At 36.3% G+C, this 17,856-nt stretch overlaps 1 protein-coding gene and 1 pseudogene across 3 annotated transcripts in view; one reads left to right on the top strand and one right to left on the bottom strand.

Annotated features, from left to right (window-relative positions):
* Nucleotides 1,807-17,856, bottom strand: part of NUP62CL (nucleoporin 62 C-terminal like) — an 83,007-nt gene continuing 66,957 nt past the window's right edge. For all 3 annotated transcript variants that reach the window (NR_033676.2, NM_001433614.1, NM_017681.3), the window contains one exon: nt 1,807-2,712. Coding sequence is in view for 1 of the 3 variants with exons in the window: in NM_001433614.1 (NP_001420543.1) it covers nt 2,526-2,712 (187 nt within the window). In the remaining 2 variants the exon portion in view is untranslated. The remainder of the gene's footprint in view (nt 2,713-17,856) is intronic.
* Nucleotides 9,958-10,731, top strand: GTF3C6P2 (GTF3C6 pseudogene 2; annotated as a pseudogene).

The raw sequence follows: 17,856 nt of genomic DNA on the forward strand, positions 1-17,856 counted from the left end.
AGAGATCTTACCTAATTTCACAATTTTACCCCTAGAAGAATTTATGACAAACCGAAAAATATGCCTCATTTGTCTTTCTGTCAATTTAACAAGGTTAGTTTAATTAATCCAGAAGCTCCTTCTTAACAGAGACACATTTTCTGAGTTTGTCCTTTTTAGGTGCTTTGTTTGTGGCACGCTTCTGAAGACTACATTATGAAGCAGTTATGATTCCAAGATATGGAAGAAGATGTTAAAACCAAAAATCTTCTCTTGAATCTACTCACCATCTTATATTAAGAGTAAACAACTGTGCAAGTCTTTCAAATTTCCCAAATGAAATAGCATAAATGCTGTTATAGAGAACAAATATAGCATCTTTTCAAAGGATTAAAAAATGGGTATGTACTGGGATAGTGTCAACACTTTAAATTTAAGAATTCTTCAGCTAATATGTCAGCTGGTTAACAATGGTTACGAGGGGCTGAAGACTCCAGTGCCTAACATAAATGATGCTTTAACATTACTGGTAAAAATAGCTTATTTCTGTATTTCTGACCTTTTAATTAAGATTTGTCAACGTGACTGGGCACGGTGGATCACGCCTGTGATCCTGGCACTTTGGGAGGCCAAGGCGGGTGGGTCCTTTGAGCCCAGGAGTTCAAGACCAGCCTGGGTAACATGGCAAAACCCCATCTCTACAAAAAACTCAAAAATTAGCTAGGTGTGGTGGTGTGCACCTGTAGTCCCAACTACTTGGGAGGCTGAGGTAGGAGAATCACTTCAGCCCAGCAGGCAGGGGTTGCAGTGAGCCAAGATCACGGCACTGCACTCTAGCTTAGGTGACAGAGCAAGACCCTGTCTCAAAAAACAAACAAAAAAAAATTGTTCAACAATGTCATTTCTTTACATGTTAGAAATGGTCAGGAAGAATCTTAGAGATGATTTATGATTTAGTCCAATGTACAATTCCAGACAGTATACTGAGATCACCCTGTAAGTCTTAATAACATTACTAGATCAATCTAGAAGCCAGTTGCTATCCTCTGGCATCTTCTATGTACTAGGAAAAACACTAGAACTCCCACTGAAGATAATGTAACAGTAAGATAGTATAAGCAGTATTGTAGTCTCCTTTTTCTTTATTTTACTTAGGAAATATAGAGTAAGCACTCTACTCACAGTGAAAAGACATAAAGGAATCTCAAAACTTCAGAGAAATGAAAACCAGTTCCTTCTCACAAAACAGTTTGGGAAACCCTAATATGATCCAACTCTTTCATTTATGGACAAAGATAATGCCCAAGATGAAATTATTTGTCCAGTTAATTAGGCAGGAACAAGACTAGAGTCAGTGTTTCTTCTGATAAACTATATTTTCATTACTGAATGTAGAACTTGTACACAGGCTACTTTACAAGAGTTGAATCTCCAAAAGCAATGGGAAAAAATGTCTTTAGTATTACTCTTATCTACAGTATAAGAGTAATAATACTGAACTGAAAAATTAGAGATTACTAAAGATTATACTTAAAAGTTGTGTATCTACAGAAATAATTCACAAGATTATATGAGTTCTGGATTATTTTCACATTCTATAATTCTGCGTGGTTACAAAAACTTACTGGATAAGAAGCTGCTGCTTGGAAAAGTTTGAGTAGAAAAAAAAGAGTCCATGTCAATTTTGGCATTTAGTCTGCTCATAAGACTAATCGTTGCTAATATTCATTTCAAAAATATTTCTTCGTGTAATGTGTACCCGCCACGATGGTCGTGTGCAATCAGTACAACAGAAAATTTAGCTCAATAAATTATAGGTTACTGAGCTCTAGTCACTTAAAAACTTTTAATAGTTAATTTCAGTATTACATGTTTTTTTTTAGGACATTACCTTTATTTATGACTTAGGTGAAACATGAAACACAGGAGACCAGACTGTTCCAAACCTAAGAACAAGGCTTATTTAAAACAAAACAAAACAAACAAACAAAAAAAAAGAAAAACAAACAAATATACGGAAATCACCAACTATAAATCATATGCTAAAACCAAATAAAATGCCAGTATATCCATACATTAAAAATAACCAAATTCCTTGAAACTTACCTTTCCTTAACCCTTTAATAATAATCTACCCTAACTTTTCCTCCCTGCTCTGAATCTCTATAACACACTTTCTATAATTCATACTGCACTTCTTTATATTATCTATATTGTTTTTATGCAGACAAGCATTAATTATATCTCAAACTAGACAGTAGGTTCCTTTGAGGAGAAGAGACTTTACAGTATCTAGCACTATATAGGTTGGCATGTACTTTTGGCAGACATCACCCTATGATTCAACTGGAGTGAGAAGGATGATGTGTACTGATGCCAGGGAGAGTAAGACATAAATTACACATATAGAGTCAGCATCTAAGAGGTTGCTGTCTGGACAAAGGGGCTAGTATAATTTTGATTTTCTAATACTAAAAACAAAACTAAGGTATAATTCTCAACAGTACAATACTTAAATGAAAAAAAGGATGCACAATTCATTATGATCAAGATGAAATATTAAGTATAAATACTACTCTATTTAACATCAGAATTTGTAGGTAATAATCCAGAAACGACATGCTGAAGATATGGTCATTCACTAAAAAGCAGTGTTGACATTGTGTGCATGCTCCTCGTGACGATAATCCTCGAAAACCCGTGTTACCACTTCTACCTTCCTTCGCAGCATGCCTATAGGAGAAAAAGTCACACAATCATTAATCTAAGGCCAAAATATCCCATGAACATAATTTACGTATTCCTTTCAACACATGATTAACAAAATTTTACATAGCAATTTCAATAGCTTTACGTTTTAGAAAACACATAAGAAAAAAACACTCATCTATCTGTTTGGAAACTGTGCAAACAATGGACAAGACTTTTTTTTTTTTCTGCTCTCCCTAGCTTTCAGGCAAATAACTGTCTAGTTGACATTTATGTTTTGTTAGGATGAGGTGTTAACTGCTTTTTGACTCATTATACCCTAAAAGTGACATACAGGGTAGTCATTAAATTGGGAGTATAGGTTTTGGTGGGTCTTAGCTACCTATAAGCAAATGAGCGCACTGAGTATATTTACATTTCTGTTCTTTTCCAATAATGATTTATTTAACTTGGTGGTTCTTAAATTTTCTCAGGGGCAGAGTACCACAGAATACCATTAATTTTATCATATGAAACAGTAACTTTCTGCTAGTAAAACTAAGCTGTTGAAGTAAGCATGATACTCTGAGTTTTTCTATTAACATGCACAAATAAACTTTGTCATTTCTTTTAGTGTTCATTAATGGTTACTCATGAATAAGCCATAACTGGTGCCCAAGAAGAAAAACAATTTACAAGAGAAACACTAAAAAATTTAAACGATATACAGTTGACTCTTGGAAAACATAGGTTTAAACTGCGCAAGTTCACTATACGTGAATTTTCTTCCACTTCTGCCACACTTGAGACAAGACCACCCTCTCCTCTTCCTCCTCACCCTGTTCAACATGAAGATGAAGAGAATGAAGAACTTTATGATGATCCAATTCCACTTAATAACTGGTAAATGTTTCTTTTCTTCCTTATGATTTTCTTAACAACATTTTCTTTTTCTCTAGCTTACTTTATCATAAGAATACAGTATATAATAATACATATAACATGCAAAATACGTGTTAATTGACTATGTTAGTGGTAAGGCTTCCATCAACAGTAGGCTATTAGTAGTTAAGTTTTGGGGAGTCGAAAGTTATATTTGGTTTTTTACTGTGTAGGGATTAGCACCCCTAAACCCTTCATTGTTGAAGGGCCAGCTGTAATATACTTTAATTTTCTTCACCCAATCAGAAAAACCCTAATGTTACCCAGTTTTTAAAGTGTAATACCTCATTTTATCTTATAAAGACATTCTGCAAGATCATGCTTTAAGGACAGTGATTTCAATGCTGGCTGTCTATAAAAGGCCAGAAAAACATTATGTTCAACCTGGCAAACTATATCTCCTTTTTGTTGTAATAACTAACTGCGGGGTGCAATTTTTTCACCTAAATAACAGTTTTTAATATGATGGAAGCACAGATGAGCACTACAACAAACCATTAACTTGAGATCAGAAGTGTCAACATAGGCACATTCTAGTAATTTGCTGATTGATACATATTAAATGCAAAGGGGTACATTTATAATGATTTTAAAAATCAATAAACTGTCAAGAAATACAAGTCAGCATTCTTAAGAAAGCCTTACTATTAGCATTTTGTCATGTCTTCTAATTGAATTCCCAGGACTATTTCTGTATTAACATACTTTAAATTTTTTAGGACTTTCATTCTTTAAGGGCAAAAACTGCACCTAGGTACTTAATGCCCAGAATTTTGGTCCCATGACAAGCATCAGTGATTGACTGGTTCCTGCCAGCATATTAAATATGGCATACACATATTGACATTATTAAAAAATAATTGTTCTAAACAATATGAAAATAAGAAAACAATTTCATTCACAATAGCATCAAAAAGAATTATAATACTTAGGAATAAACTTAACAAATGAAGTATAAGACCTGTACACTGACAACAAAAAAACATTGCTAAGAAAAACTAAAGAATATCTAAATAAGTGGAGATATATTCCATGTTCATGGATTAAAAGACTCACTATTGTTAAGATGGCAATTCTCCACAAGTTGATCTACAGATTCAATGTAATCCCTATGAAAATTCTAGCAGGCTCTTTTTATAGAAATAGACAAGCTTAATTTAAATGTATATGGAGAGGCAAAGGATCCAGAAAAAAACAATCTTGAAAAATAAGAACAAACTGTAGGATTTAACACTATCTAATTTTAAAACTTAATCAAGTAATCAAGACAGCATGATATGGGCAATAATAGCCATAGAGATCAATGAAACAGAAACAAAGTCCAGAAATAAAACCTTATAAGGTACCAAGGCAATTCAATGGTAGAAATCATAATCTTTTTCAACAAATGGCTCTGGGACAACTGGATATCTACATCCAAATGAAATCAAACCCCCACCTTTAACTATATACAAAAATCAACTCAAGATGGATTATCAATCTAAATGTAAGTGCTAAAACTATATTTTAAAAAACAACAAGAGGCTGGGTGCTGTGCCTCATGCCTGTAATCCCAGCACTTTGGGGGGCCGAGGCAAGAGGATCACCTGAGGTCAGGAGTTCGAGACCAGCCTGGCCAACCTTGTGAAACCCTGTATCTACTAAAAATACAAAAATTAGCCAGGTGTGGTGGCAGGAGCCTGTAATCCCAGCTACTCAAGAGGCTGAGGCAGGAGAATCGCTTGAACCCAGGAGGTGGAGGTTGCAGTGAGCTGAGATTGTGCCATTGCACTCCAGTCTGGGTGACGAGAGAAACTCTGTCTCAAAAAAAAAAAACCAAGAAATGTCCATCAACTGATGAATGGATAAACAAAATATGGTATGACTGTACAATGAAATGATACACAGCAATAACAGGAATTAAGTACTGATACATGTTACAACATAGATGAACCTTGAAAATATTATGCTAAATGAAAGAAACCAGACACAAAAGGCCACATATAATATGATTCAATCTACATAAACTCTCCAGAAAAGGCAAATCTATAAAGACAGAAAGTAGATTAGTGGTTGCATGGGGTTTGGGATAGAAATGGGGAATAACTGCAAATGGCCAAGAGAAAATTTTGGCGGTAAAAAAAGTGTTCTAATACTGGATTGTTTGATGTCTGTACAACTCTATAGGCCTAACTAAATGGCTATTGGTTAAGGTGGTATATTTGTGTATTTTAAAATATTTTAAAACAATTATTTATTATTCTCAAAAGATTTTGGTGAAGCTGCTTCCAGTCAGTGTCATTCTGTTTTGGAGACAGATGTTTTCTTCAACTTAGCCTTTTGCAAATACTTTAGGTAAATATTCAAAAAAGATTAGGAAAAGAGATTTAGTCATTAAACCCAAACACAGACTTCTAGAAACTGTAATTAATGCTTTAAGAAAATTTTAAGTTATACATATAAAAATTATTAGATGAGATTAAATTCACTGTCAAAGAACACAATGTACTTTCATAAACAATGCTATATAGTATATCTCTCATTTCTCCCAGAAAAAAATTGAGGCAGTGAGATAAAAAAAAAATCCTGAGAGTAAAACAGTTAAAAACACAAATAGGCAACTTATAAAATGACACACAAATTATTTATAAACATTTTCAAAATACTCAACCTCATTAGTAACCAGAGGAATGCAAATTAAACCAGGAAAATATTATTTTAACTTGCAAATTTTGGCAAAGAATGATCATGGTGGTGGTGGTGGTAGTAATTACAGGAGTGGTACTGGAAAGAATGCAGAAAAATGGGTCCCCCCAATGAATTTCTGGTGAAAATATAAATTAGTACAACCTACCTGGAAGGATATATACCAAAAGCTTTTAAAACAGACATTACTACTGATTTAGCATTTTAACTTCTAAGAATTTTATTTATGTCCAGTAATCATGGATGTACACCTTAAAATTTACCTACAGCTAGGTTTTTACTGCAGCATGATTTAAAACAGCAAAAAGTTTGAAACATTAACTAATACCTAACAATGGGCTATTAACTAAACAAACTATGGTATATCCATATAATGCAATATTTAGCAGCCATTAAATGTAGAATGTTTAATAACATGGAAAGATGGTCATGTGCACATGTCTGTTAGCTTTGTATCTCTTTCTCCACCAAAAGCTAAATACAGTATCCTGTGTAAATATCAGGCAACAAATAAATTGAAACCATATATTGGACCCCAAGCTCATGCCAGGCATTGCTAAATTCTGAAGATACAAAAATAATTAAGATATTATCTCTATCAAGAAGCTCAAATTCCAGTAAACAGACATGTAGACAAATAACTGCAATATTATATGATAAATGCTAATACTACATTATGTAGAACACAGCCTGGATACAAAGAAGGGGATAAACAACTATTAGAATGATGAGCCAAGGCAGTCAAGGAAGGCTTCACAAACCATCTTGACATGGGAGCAGCTACCATGCAGACGATGATGGGGTAGAGTACTCCAGGCAAAAGAAACTGAACGTCCGAAAATATAGATGAGGAAAGAATATCAGGCGTTTAGAAAACCATAAATACTTCTTCAAGATGAGGCTAGAGAACCAGATAGGGGTTAGATTATGCAGGGTACTTTGTATATTATGCAAAGAATCAAATTTATCATTGGACAATGGGAACTAGTGAAGGGTTTTAATAAAGAGATGACTAGAATAGAGTGTGACTTTATCAAGATCATCTTGACAGTATTGTGAAAGTGAATTAGAATGGGGTAAGACTAGGCGGAGGAGACCACTAAGGTTACCAGTTAGAGATTAAGCACATGCATTTACCACTGCTCTATTTCAAAACATTTGTCAAATAGCAGTAAAGATATTTTTAACAGAAGAAGAAAAAGACAAAAGCATAAAATCGTAAGGACAAAAACAAGAAAGGAGACAACAAAAAAACTATGAAAATTGCAGCTGGATTTGTATGAGAGAACCCTAGAAAGAATATGGAATTAGTAGAGCTAGGTAATTCAAAGTGATATTGAAAGTGGAGCTAAAAACAGAATTGTCAAAGCATAAGAAACAGACCCCTCCTCTCATCCACATCCTACATCTGGGCAATTCTCCCTACCCAACTCCTGGAGATAATTTTCCTTTGGAGAGGGTGAACCAAATAAGCTGTGGATCAGGGACACCAGGCAGAGCAGAGGGCAAGTATTCTGTACCAAAACGGGAATTAAGTCAAAGTTATACAGGGATAAAGTGAAAGCCTACAAGCTGAACACTAAGCCTGCAGTCTCTTCTCTAACAGTTCTCAGAACACTGGCTTAACACCAGGCTTATCTCTAGCCAGGAGCTGGAAGTTTCTTCTCCAGAGAATTTGACCAGCTAAAGAGATAAATCCTGAAGATAACAGTTAGAGGTCCCCCAATGAAAATGTCTAGCCAAATTATCCTATAGTAAGTTAACAAGCCCCACCTACAAAACTTTTCAGTATATCATTCTTGAATATAAATGGACAACCAAGAATCACCAGATATTTGGGGAAAGCCTCTAACATGAGAAAGACTGAAACAAAACAGAAATATAAAGAAAGCTAAAAGAAATACTCCAGAAAGAATAAAACATACATTTAAAAAATCATTAATATCCTCAAAGAGATAATACTGAATTCATGAAATAAGAACAGGATGCTATTTACAAAGTACATATATATAATCATAAAACAACACAACATCTCTTGCAAAATTAAACTTATAGCAGAAATCAAAGATCAGTAGAAAGACAAATAAAAAGTTGAGTACATACCCCAGAAAATTTAACAAAAATATAACGAGAAAATAGGAGAGAAATTAAATTTAGATCAGTCCAGGGCATCAAACATTAGAAAAACAGTATTTCCAGAAAGAATGAGCAAAAACTTAATTCAAGAAAATAGACCCAAACTGAAAGAAATGAATTCCTTGAGTCACCAATAATGGGCTCAGTGGGTCAAACAGATCCACACCAAAACGCATCATCTGATATTTCAGTATTTTGAGGAAGATCCTAAAACCTTCCATTGAAAAACACAATGAAAAGTTCACATGAGGTTCAGGAATCAAAATGGCCCTCAAAGTTAGAAAACAACAGAACAACTTCTTCAAAAGTTCCAGGGAAAATTATTTCCAAGCTAAAATTCAATACCCGATATTATCGATTAGATGTGAAGGTAGAATAAACACCTTTTCAGACAGGCAAGGTCTCAAAAAGTTTACTTCCTATGCACTCTTTCTGGAAACTGCTAGAATATGTGCTATATCAGAAACAAGGGAATAAACCAAGAAACAGAAGTGTAAGTAAGAGCCATGAAACTGGAGAACCAACAAAGAGTAGAGTCAATATAAGAATGCTATAGAAGACAGACCATAGCCGAGCAGCAGATCAAGAAAGCAACAATTAAGGACTGTAGTATGGAGATTAGAGGACTCTGGCAGAGATGAATCAAAGAGGCAACTGATAGATTTACAGTAAAAGCAGGGACTTAGAAAAGTATATAGAAAACTAAGTAAATAAAGAAATAAGACTCAAAGGAAAATAAAACTTGTAAAAGGAAGAAGACATAATATAGTATACTACATGGCCAGGCTGCAAATAACATTTATGCAATCATAATCCAAATATTAAATATTGATTTATGTGAAATTTATAATATATACATATTAGGATGAGGAAAATGTGTGTGTGTGTATATATGTATATATGATGTAAAAGAGTTAAATCCTCCCCTCCACCCATTTTGGAAAGTCAGTAGAGAAGGCCTAATACGGAAAAACTAAAAAGTAACACTACATGATGTTTAAAAATATAAAAATAAATAGTTGCAAAATTTAGCTAACATAATTGAAAGTGATTGCCCCTAGGGAGTAAGAAAATAAGGTATGGACAAGGAGCTGATGTTTTTCATAAACCTGAAAAAAATTATATTTTCAAGGTGGGGGACAAAGAAAGCCTGAAATAGGGATGTGGTAGTGGGAAACTAGTGAAGAGAAAGGATTCAAGAGCTATTTAAGAAGTATAATCATCATCACTTACTGAAGAAATAGAAATAGCCTGCTTTAGATTCCTGAGTAAATAGCAGCAGTCTTTTGCTGAGAAAAAGAAAAGGAGTTACAGATCTGGGAGACCCGGGAGAATATGAAAATAAGGAGTTTAGTTTTAGACAAGTTTAATTTGAGCCTTTGGGATATCTATGTGCAGATGTTTGTTAACATGGAGCTTTATAATGGATAGTAAAGGAACCATTAGTGAAATTGACAGTTGGCGATAACAACTAGGGTTTTTAAATTGCTGATTATCAGAAATGCCTTAAAAGAGAATGTAGGGCCGGTACTCAAGATGGCAGCTCCGCGTCGCCAGTGACTAGTAGGCGAGGCGCCGCGGGACCAAGGCCGCGGCCGACTAGCGGGATCTGGAGGATGGAGAAGAGGAGGAAGAGGAGGAGCAGTTGGTTCTAGTGGAATTATCAGGAATTATTGATTCAGACTTTCTCTCAAATGTGAAAATAAATGCAAGGTTTTGGGCATTGACACTGAGAGGCCCATTCTGCAAGTGGACAGCTGTGTCTTTGCTGGGGAGTATGAAGACACTCTTGGGACCTGTGTTATATTTGAAGAAAATGTTGAACATGCTGATACAGAAGGCAATAATAAAACAGTGTTAAAATATAAATGTCATACAATGAAGAAGCTCAGCATGACAAGAACTCTTCTGACAGAGAAGAAGGAAGGAGAAGAAAACATAGGTGGGATGGAATGGTTGCAAATAAAGGATAATGATTTCTCCTATCGACCCAACATGATTTGTAGCTTTCTACATGAAAATGAAGACGAAGAAGTGGTAGCTTCAGCCCCAGATAAATCTTTGGAATTGGAAGAGGAAAAGATTCAAATGAACGAGAGTTCAAACCTGAGTTGTGAACAGGAGAAACCAATGCACTTGGAAATAGAAGATTCTGGTCCTCTTATTGATATACCTTCTGAGAAAGTTCTGTTTTTATGGAAACTCAAATGCTGCCTTAGAAATCACTCCTAGATGAAATGTTTCCCATAATAACTTGTCAAGAACTTTTTAGAGTTCTTACATAAAAATAATTGCTGTGTAGCTTTCAGTCTTTTAATGTTTTATTGCATTTTACTGGCTATACACACATATCCAGTCATAACACAACTTATTTTACCAGAATCATTTGGGACCAGACATGAATTGGATTTTTAAAATACAGTTTGGGCTGGGTGCAGTGGCTCACACCTGTAATCTCAGCACTTTGGGAGGCCGAGGTGGGAGGATCACTTGGACCTAGGAGTTTGAGACCAGTCTGGGTAACGTGGGGAGGCCCCGTCTCTACAAAAAATTTTTTAGAATTAGCTGGACATAGTGTCGTATGCCTGTGGTACCAGCTACTGGGCAGCTGGCCTGGGAGGATGGCCTGGGATGGGAGGTCGAGGCTGCAGTGAGCTGCGTTTGCGCCTCTGTACTCTTGCCTGGGTGACACAGTGAGACCCTGTCTCAAAAAATAAGTAAAATGAAATACTTGTAAATGACTTTAGGGACCCTTCTGAGTCCTTTAAATTCGAGGTTTTATTAAGTTAAGTATATAAGTTTTCCTTTGAGGCTGTTACAAATTACTTCAAACTCAGTGAGTTAACACAAATGTATTGTCTTATAGTTTTGTAGGTGAAAAGTGTGACAACGGGTCTTACCTGGCCTAAATTCAAAGTGCTGGCAGGAATGCATTCCTTTATGGAGTTTTTGGGGTTGGGGGCAAATCCATTTCCTTGTTTATTCAGTTGTTGGCAGAATTCAGTTCTTTGCAGTTGAAGGATCAAAGTCTCCTTTCCTTGCTGTCTGTTAGCTGAGGGTCATTTCTAGCTTCTGAAGGCTGCCTTCATTCCTTGGCTCATGATCCCCTTTTCTTCAGAGCCTGCAATAGTGGGTGAAGTCCCTCTCCCATTTTGAATCATTCCTGTTACTTCTTCCATCATCCCTCTCTCTGACCTACCCTGCTGTCTTCCATTCCTACTGTTAAATGTCTATTTGATTACTCTGGGCCCACGTGGATAATCTCCCTATTTTAAGATCGATAACTTTTTTTTTTTTCCTTTGGGACAGGGTCTCGCTCTGTCGCCCAGGCTGGAGTGCAGTAGCATGACCGCGGCTTACTACAGCCTTGAACTCCCGGGCTCAGGCAGTCCTCCCACCTCAGCCTCCTGAGTGGGTGGGACTGCAGGCACACACCACCATGCCTGGCTGTTTTTTTACATTTTTTTTAAGAGATGGGTTCTCATTATGTTGCCCAGGCTGGTCTTGAACTCCTGGGCTCTGGTGATCCTCCTGTCTTGGCCTCTCAATGTGCTGGGATTGCAGGCATGAACCACTGCACCCTGCTGAAGGTGTATAAGATTAATTCTGGCCGGGCGCAGTGGCTCACGCCTGTGATCCCGGCACTTTGGGAGGCGAGGCGGGTGGATCACGAGGTCAGGAGTTTGAAACCAGCCTGGCCAACATGGTGAAACCCCGTCTCTACTAAAAATACAAAAATTATCCAGGTATGGTGGCACACACCTGTGGTCCCGGCTACTCAGGGTGCTGGGGTGGGAGAATTGCTTGAGCCCGGGAGGTGGAGGTTGCAGTGAGCTGAGATTGCACCACTGCACTCCAACCTGGGCGACAGAGCGAGACTCCATCTCAAAGACAAAACAAAACAAAACAACATTAATTCCATCTGCAAAGTCTCTTTTGCTAGGTCATTTAACATACACAGGCATAATACTAGGGATTAGGGCATGGAAGTCTTTGGGGCCTATTTTTAGTCTACTACAATAAGTATTTTATCTAGGAACAGAAAAAGAATTTTGAAGTGCTTAAGGATAAAGGAACAATTCCAAATATTCCAGATGTAATTTTGCTCCTTTCCCACTTGAGAAAGATTATTGAAATTCAGCTGTATTAGTCATTTTATCATGGCAGTAAACTAAATCTGTGCTAGTTTATATTTTTTAAGTAAATTATTCACACCCTTTGATACTTTGTTACAGGTTGACCTGTGTAAAATTGCCAATATTTTATTGTTTCTGACTACAAAAAACAGCAATTTCCTATAGTTTAACCTAGCACCAGTAAGTTAAAATATACCTCATGTTAATTACATCTCACAATTGATGGAGATAAAACTATTTTAACAGATTAGAGAGCTAACGTTCTAGGATGAATAATTTTTTTTTAAATCAAGTTCTGGCTCTGTCGCCCAGGCTGTAGTGCAGTGGCGCAGTCTGGGCTCACTGCAACCTCCGCCTCCTGGGCTTAAGCCATCCTCCCACCTCAGCCTCCCTAGTGGCTGGGACTACAGGCGTGTGCGACCATGCCCAGCTTATTTTTGTATTTTTTGTAGAGACGGGGTTTTGTCGTGTTGCCCAGGCTGGTGTCGGACTCATGAGCTCAAGTGGTCCTCCTGCCTCGACAAGGTGCTATAATTACAGGTGTGAGCCATCATGCCTGGCCCAAAGAATTTTTTTCTTTCAAAAGTTTTGTATTTCATTGGAAAATGACTTACCTTGATAAAAAGCATTTTAAAATCATAAGCAGATGATTATAAGCAATCATCTATATCCCAATGTCTACATGACTTTTTAATTTTTTTATTTTTTGATAGTCTGTCACTCTTGTTGCCCAGGCTGGAGTGCGGTGGCATGATCTTGGCTCACCGCAACCTCTGCCTCCCAGGTTCAAGCGATTATCATGCCTCGGCCTCCCAAGTAGCTGGGATTATAGGCATGTGCCACCATGCCCAGCTAATTTATGTGACATTTTTTTAGTCTCAGCTTTTAATAAAAAGCTTATTGTTTCCCCCTTATGTATGTATAGGAGAGCATGCTAATTGCCTGACCCAATGATCTGTTCTCCCTTTTTTGCTTTGTATCAGAATCCCATAATTTATTCAGGTTAGCAATGTGCCTAGCTTTCCTTGCAGATACATGTGGTCATATGACTAAGTTCTGGAATTGACATGGAATAAGAAGTGCTGAGTGATGGGAAAAAAAAGAAAAAAGAAAATAACAAGTGCTTAGTGGTGCTTCTGGGAAGTTTCTTTAAACTTAAAGGCTTAAGGGGAAGCAGGTGGGCTCATCTTCTGTTCCTGCTAGAACATGGATGTGGTAGCTAGAGCTCCAGCAGGATTCTTGGACTTCAAAGTAACCTTGGAAATAGAAGCCATGAATGGCAGAGCAGCAATATAGGAGACTGGGTCCTGATACTGTGAGATTACCCTGGACTGCTATGAGTAAAGGGTTAATAAAACCTTTTCTTTCTCCCTGGTGAAATGACCTCGAGTTTGGCTTTCAACACTGTTTCTCTGGAAACCTACTAGGCAAGGTAATAATGGAATGTCAGCTGTAATATTAGGCAATATTATTTATGATTAAAAATGAGCCCTTAGCTGGGCGCGTTGGCAAAAATAAATAAATAAATAAATAAGGAGAATGCAGTAGTCCTCCCTTAGGCATGGTTTCACTTTACGTGATTTCAGTTACCAGTGGTCAACTGTGGTCAGAAAATGTTAAATAAAAATTTCTAGAAATAAACCATGTATAAGTTTTAAATTGTGCACCATTCTGAGTAGTGTGATGAAATCTTACACAGTTCAGCTCTGCCCCACCCAGGATGTGAATCATCCCTTTGTCTAACAACACCCACGCTGTATATGCTACCCTCCAACCCATAAGTCACTTATTAAAAAGAAGGAGAGTTTGCAAATCAATAATCTTAAGTTCTTACCTTAAGAAAACAGAAAAAGAGCAAAATTAACCCAAAGCAAGCAGAATGAAGAAAATAACAAAGAGTTGTTATCAATGAAATTGCAAACAGAAAAATCACAGAAAAACATCGAGACAAAAAGCTGACTCTGAAAAAAATCAATAAAATTAATAAACCTCTAGCAAGACAGAAAAAAAAATAGAGAAAACACAAATCACCAAAACCAGGAAACAGGGTATACCACTACAGATCCTACTGCCATTAAAAGGGTAAAAAGGAAATCCTATCAACAAATTTATACTCATAAAGTCAACCACTTAGCAGGAATGCACCAATTCCTAAAAGACTACAAACTATGAGATCTCAACCAAGATGAAACAGATAATCTGAATAGTCCTGGAAACATTAAAGAAATTCCATTTGTAACTTAAAAGCTCTCAAAAACAAAATATCCAGGCCCAGATAACTTTACTGGAAAATTCTACCAAGCACTTAAAGAAGAATTAATACCAATTATTCACAAATCCTTCTAAAAAATAAAGGCCAGTATTATACTATTACCAAAACCTGGCAGAAACAGCAAAAGAAAACAAAACAAAAAATGCCCCAAACTACCAACCAATACATATCATGAACACTTGAAAAATCTCTCATACATTTAAAAATCCTCAACAAAAGACTAGATGTATTTGGCTACAATGTATAAAAGGAATTATAAACCCTGACCAAGTAGAATTTATTCCACATATGTAAGGCTGACTCAAGATTGAAAATATATCAACGTAGGCTGGGCGTGGTGGCTCATGCCTGTAATCCCAGCACTTTGGGAGGCTGAGGTGGGTGGATCACCAGATGTCAGGAGTTCGAGAGCAGCCTGACCAACAAGGTGAAACTCTGTCTCTACTAAAAATACAAAATTAGCTGGGTGTGGTGGCACGTCTGTAATCCCAGCTATTTGGGAGGCTGAGGCAGGAGAATCGCTTGAACCTGGGAGGCGGATGTTGCAGTGAGCCAAGTTTGCACCATTGCACTCCAGCCTGGGCAACAAGAGTGAAACTCTGTCTCAAAACATAAAATAAAATAAAATTATTATATCTCAATGTAATCCACTGTATCATGAGTTAAAGAAGAAAAATCATGATTATGTCAATTGCTACAGAAAAGGAATTTTGACAAAATCCAGTACCTGTTCATGGTAAAACAAACAAACAAACAAAAACTCCCAGAGGGGAATTACCTCAACTTGATAAAGGGCGTCTACAAAAAAAATCTACAAATAACATCATACTTAAGGTGAAAGACTGAAGACTTTCCACATAAGATCAGGAACAAGGCAAGGATGTCTGCTCTTATCACTACTACTCAACATAGTATACTGGAAGTTCTAGCCAGTGCAAAAAGACAAGAAAAAGAAATAAATGACATACAGATTGGAAAGGAAGAAATAATACTCTATTTGCAGATGACATAACTGTCTATAAGGAAAATTCCGAGGAATCCACACAAAAAAACCGCCTAGAACTAACAAGTGAGTTCAGCAATGTCAAAAGATATAAAATCAACACACAAAAATTGTGTTGATTTTACACTAACAAAAACTTGCGTAACATAATACCATTCATAATCACTACAAAGTAATAAAATACTAAGGTATAAATCTAACAAAACCAAAACATGTATGTGATGTGGGTGATGAAAATTACAAAATGCTCATAAAAGAAATCAAAGAACACCTAGATAAATTTTGGGACATATGTTCATAGATGGGAAGACTCAACACAGTAAAGATGTTAATTCTCCCCAAATTGATCTATAGGTTAAATGCAATTCCTATCAAATCCCAGGACATTTTCATGGAAACTAAAACAATCTTGACAGAGTAGAATAAAGTGAGAAGAATCATTCTACCAGATACTAAGGCTTCTTACTGTATGGCTATAGTAATGAAAGCATTGGGGGAAAGACACATAGACCCATAGTATAGAGACCTCAGAAAAAGACCCACACAAATATGTCAAACAGGTTTTTTGTTGTTGTTGTTTTTTAAGGCACAAAAGCAATTTAATTGAGGAAGGATACTTTTTCAAAAATGGTGCTGGAACAACTGGATATTTGTAGGAAAAAAAAGAAGAATCTTAATCTAAGCCTCCTATCTTATATAAAAATTAAATCAAAATGGGTCACAGCCTTAAATGTAAAATGATAAAACTTGTAGAAAAAAGATATAGGAAAAAATCTTGGGGATATGGGGCTAGGCAAAAAGTTCTTAGACTGGACACCATAAACATAATCCATAAAATAAAACTGATCAAATGCATTGCATCAAAATTAAAAAACTTTGTTCTGTGAACAACTCTACTAAGAAAATGAATAGATAGGCTACAGACTGCGAGAAAATATTTGCAAACCACATATGTGACAAAAGACTTGCATCTAGAACACATGAAGATTCTCAAAACACAACAGTAAAAAATAAACAATTTGATTAGAAAATGGACAGAGGACACAAACAGGCATTTCACTGAAAAGTTTATACTGATGGGAAGTAAGTACAGGAAAAGGTTCAGCACCATCATTCATCAGGGAAATGCAACTTAAAACTGCCTTGATATCACTACACCTCCATTACAAGAGCTAAAATGAAAAATAGCGAAAATACCAAATGCTGGTGAGGACACAGACAAACTGGATCACTCATACACTGCTGGGGGATACATAAAATGGTACAGCCAGTCTGGAAAATAATGTGGCAGTGTCTAAACCCACAACTACCATATGATCCAGCAATTGTATTCTTGGATATCTATCCCAGAGAAATGAAAACTTACATTCACAAAAGAACCTGTACATAAATGTTCACAGCAGTTTTATTCATAATGTCCTAAAACTGGAAACAGCCCAGATGTCCTGCAACAGGTGAATGGTTAAACCAACTGCGGTATACCCATACCATGGAATATTACTCAGCAATAGAAAGAATCAAACTATTGATACACACAGAAACACAATGAATCTTTGGAGAATTATGCTGAGGGGGAAAAAAGCCAATCCCAAAAGGTTACATGCTGTATGACTCTATTTATGTATTTTGAAATGATAGAATTTTAGAAATAGAAAATAGATTTGTGGTTGCCAAGGAGTTAATTAGGAAATGCGGTAGAGGGGTGGGTAAGGGAACTTGGTAGAAGGGAGGGAAGGTGGATGCTGTGATTAAAGGGGGAACATGAGGAAATGTGGTATGAAACTGTTCTGTATCTTGACTATGGTGGTAGATATACAAATCTACATGTGATAAAACTGTACAGAACTAAATACACACACACAAGTAAAACTGGGGAAATCTGAAGTAGATTAGATTTTATCAATGTGAATATCCTAGTTGTAATACTGTACTACAGTTTTGCAAGATGTTGCCTCTGAGGAAAACTAGGTAAAGAATTAACATGACTTCTATATTATTCTACAACTACCTCAATA

The sequence above is a fragment of the Homo sapiens genome, chromosome X (genome assembly GCF_000001405.40).
Source record: "Homo sapiens chromosome X, GRCh38.p14 Primary Assembly".
Lineage (NCBI taxonomy): Eukaryota > Metazoa > Chordata > Mammalia > Primates > Hominidae > Homo > Homo sapiens.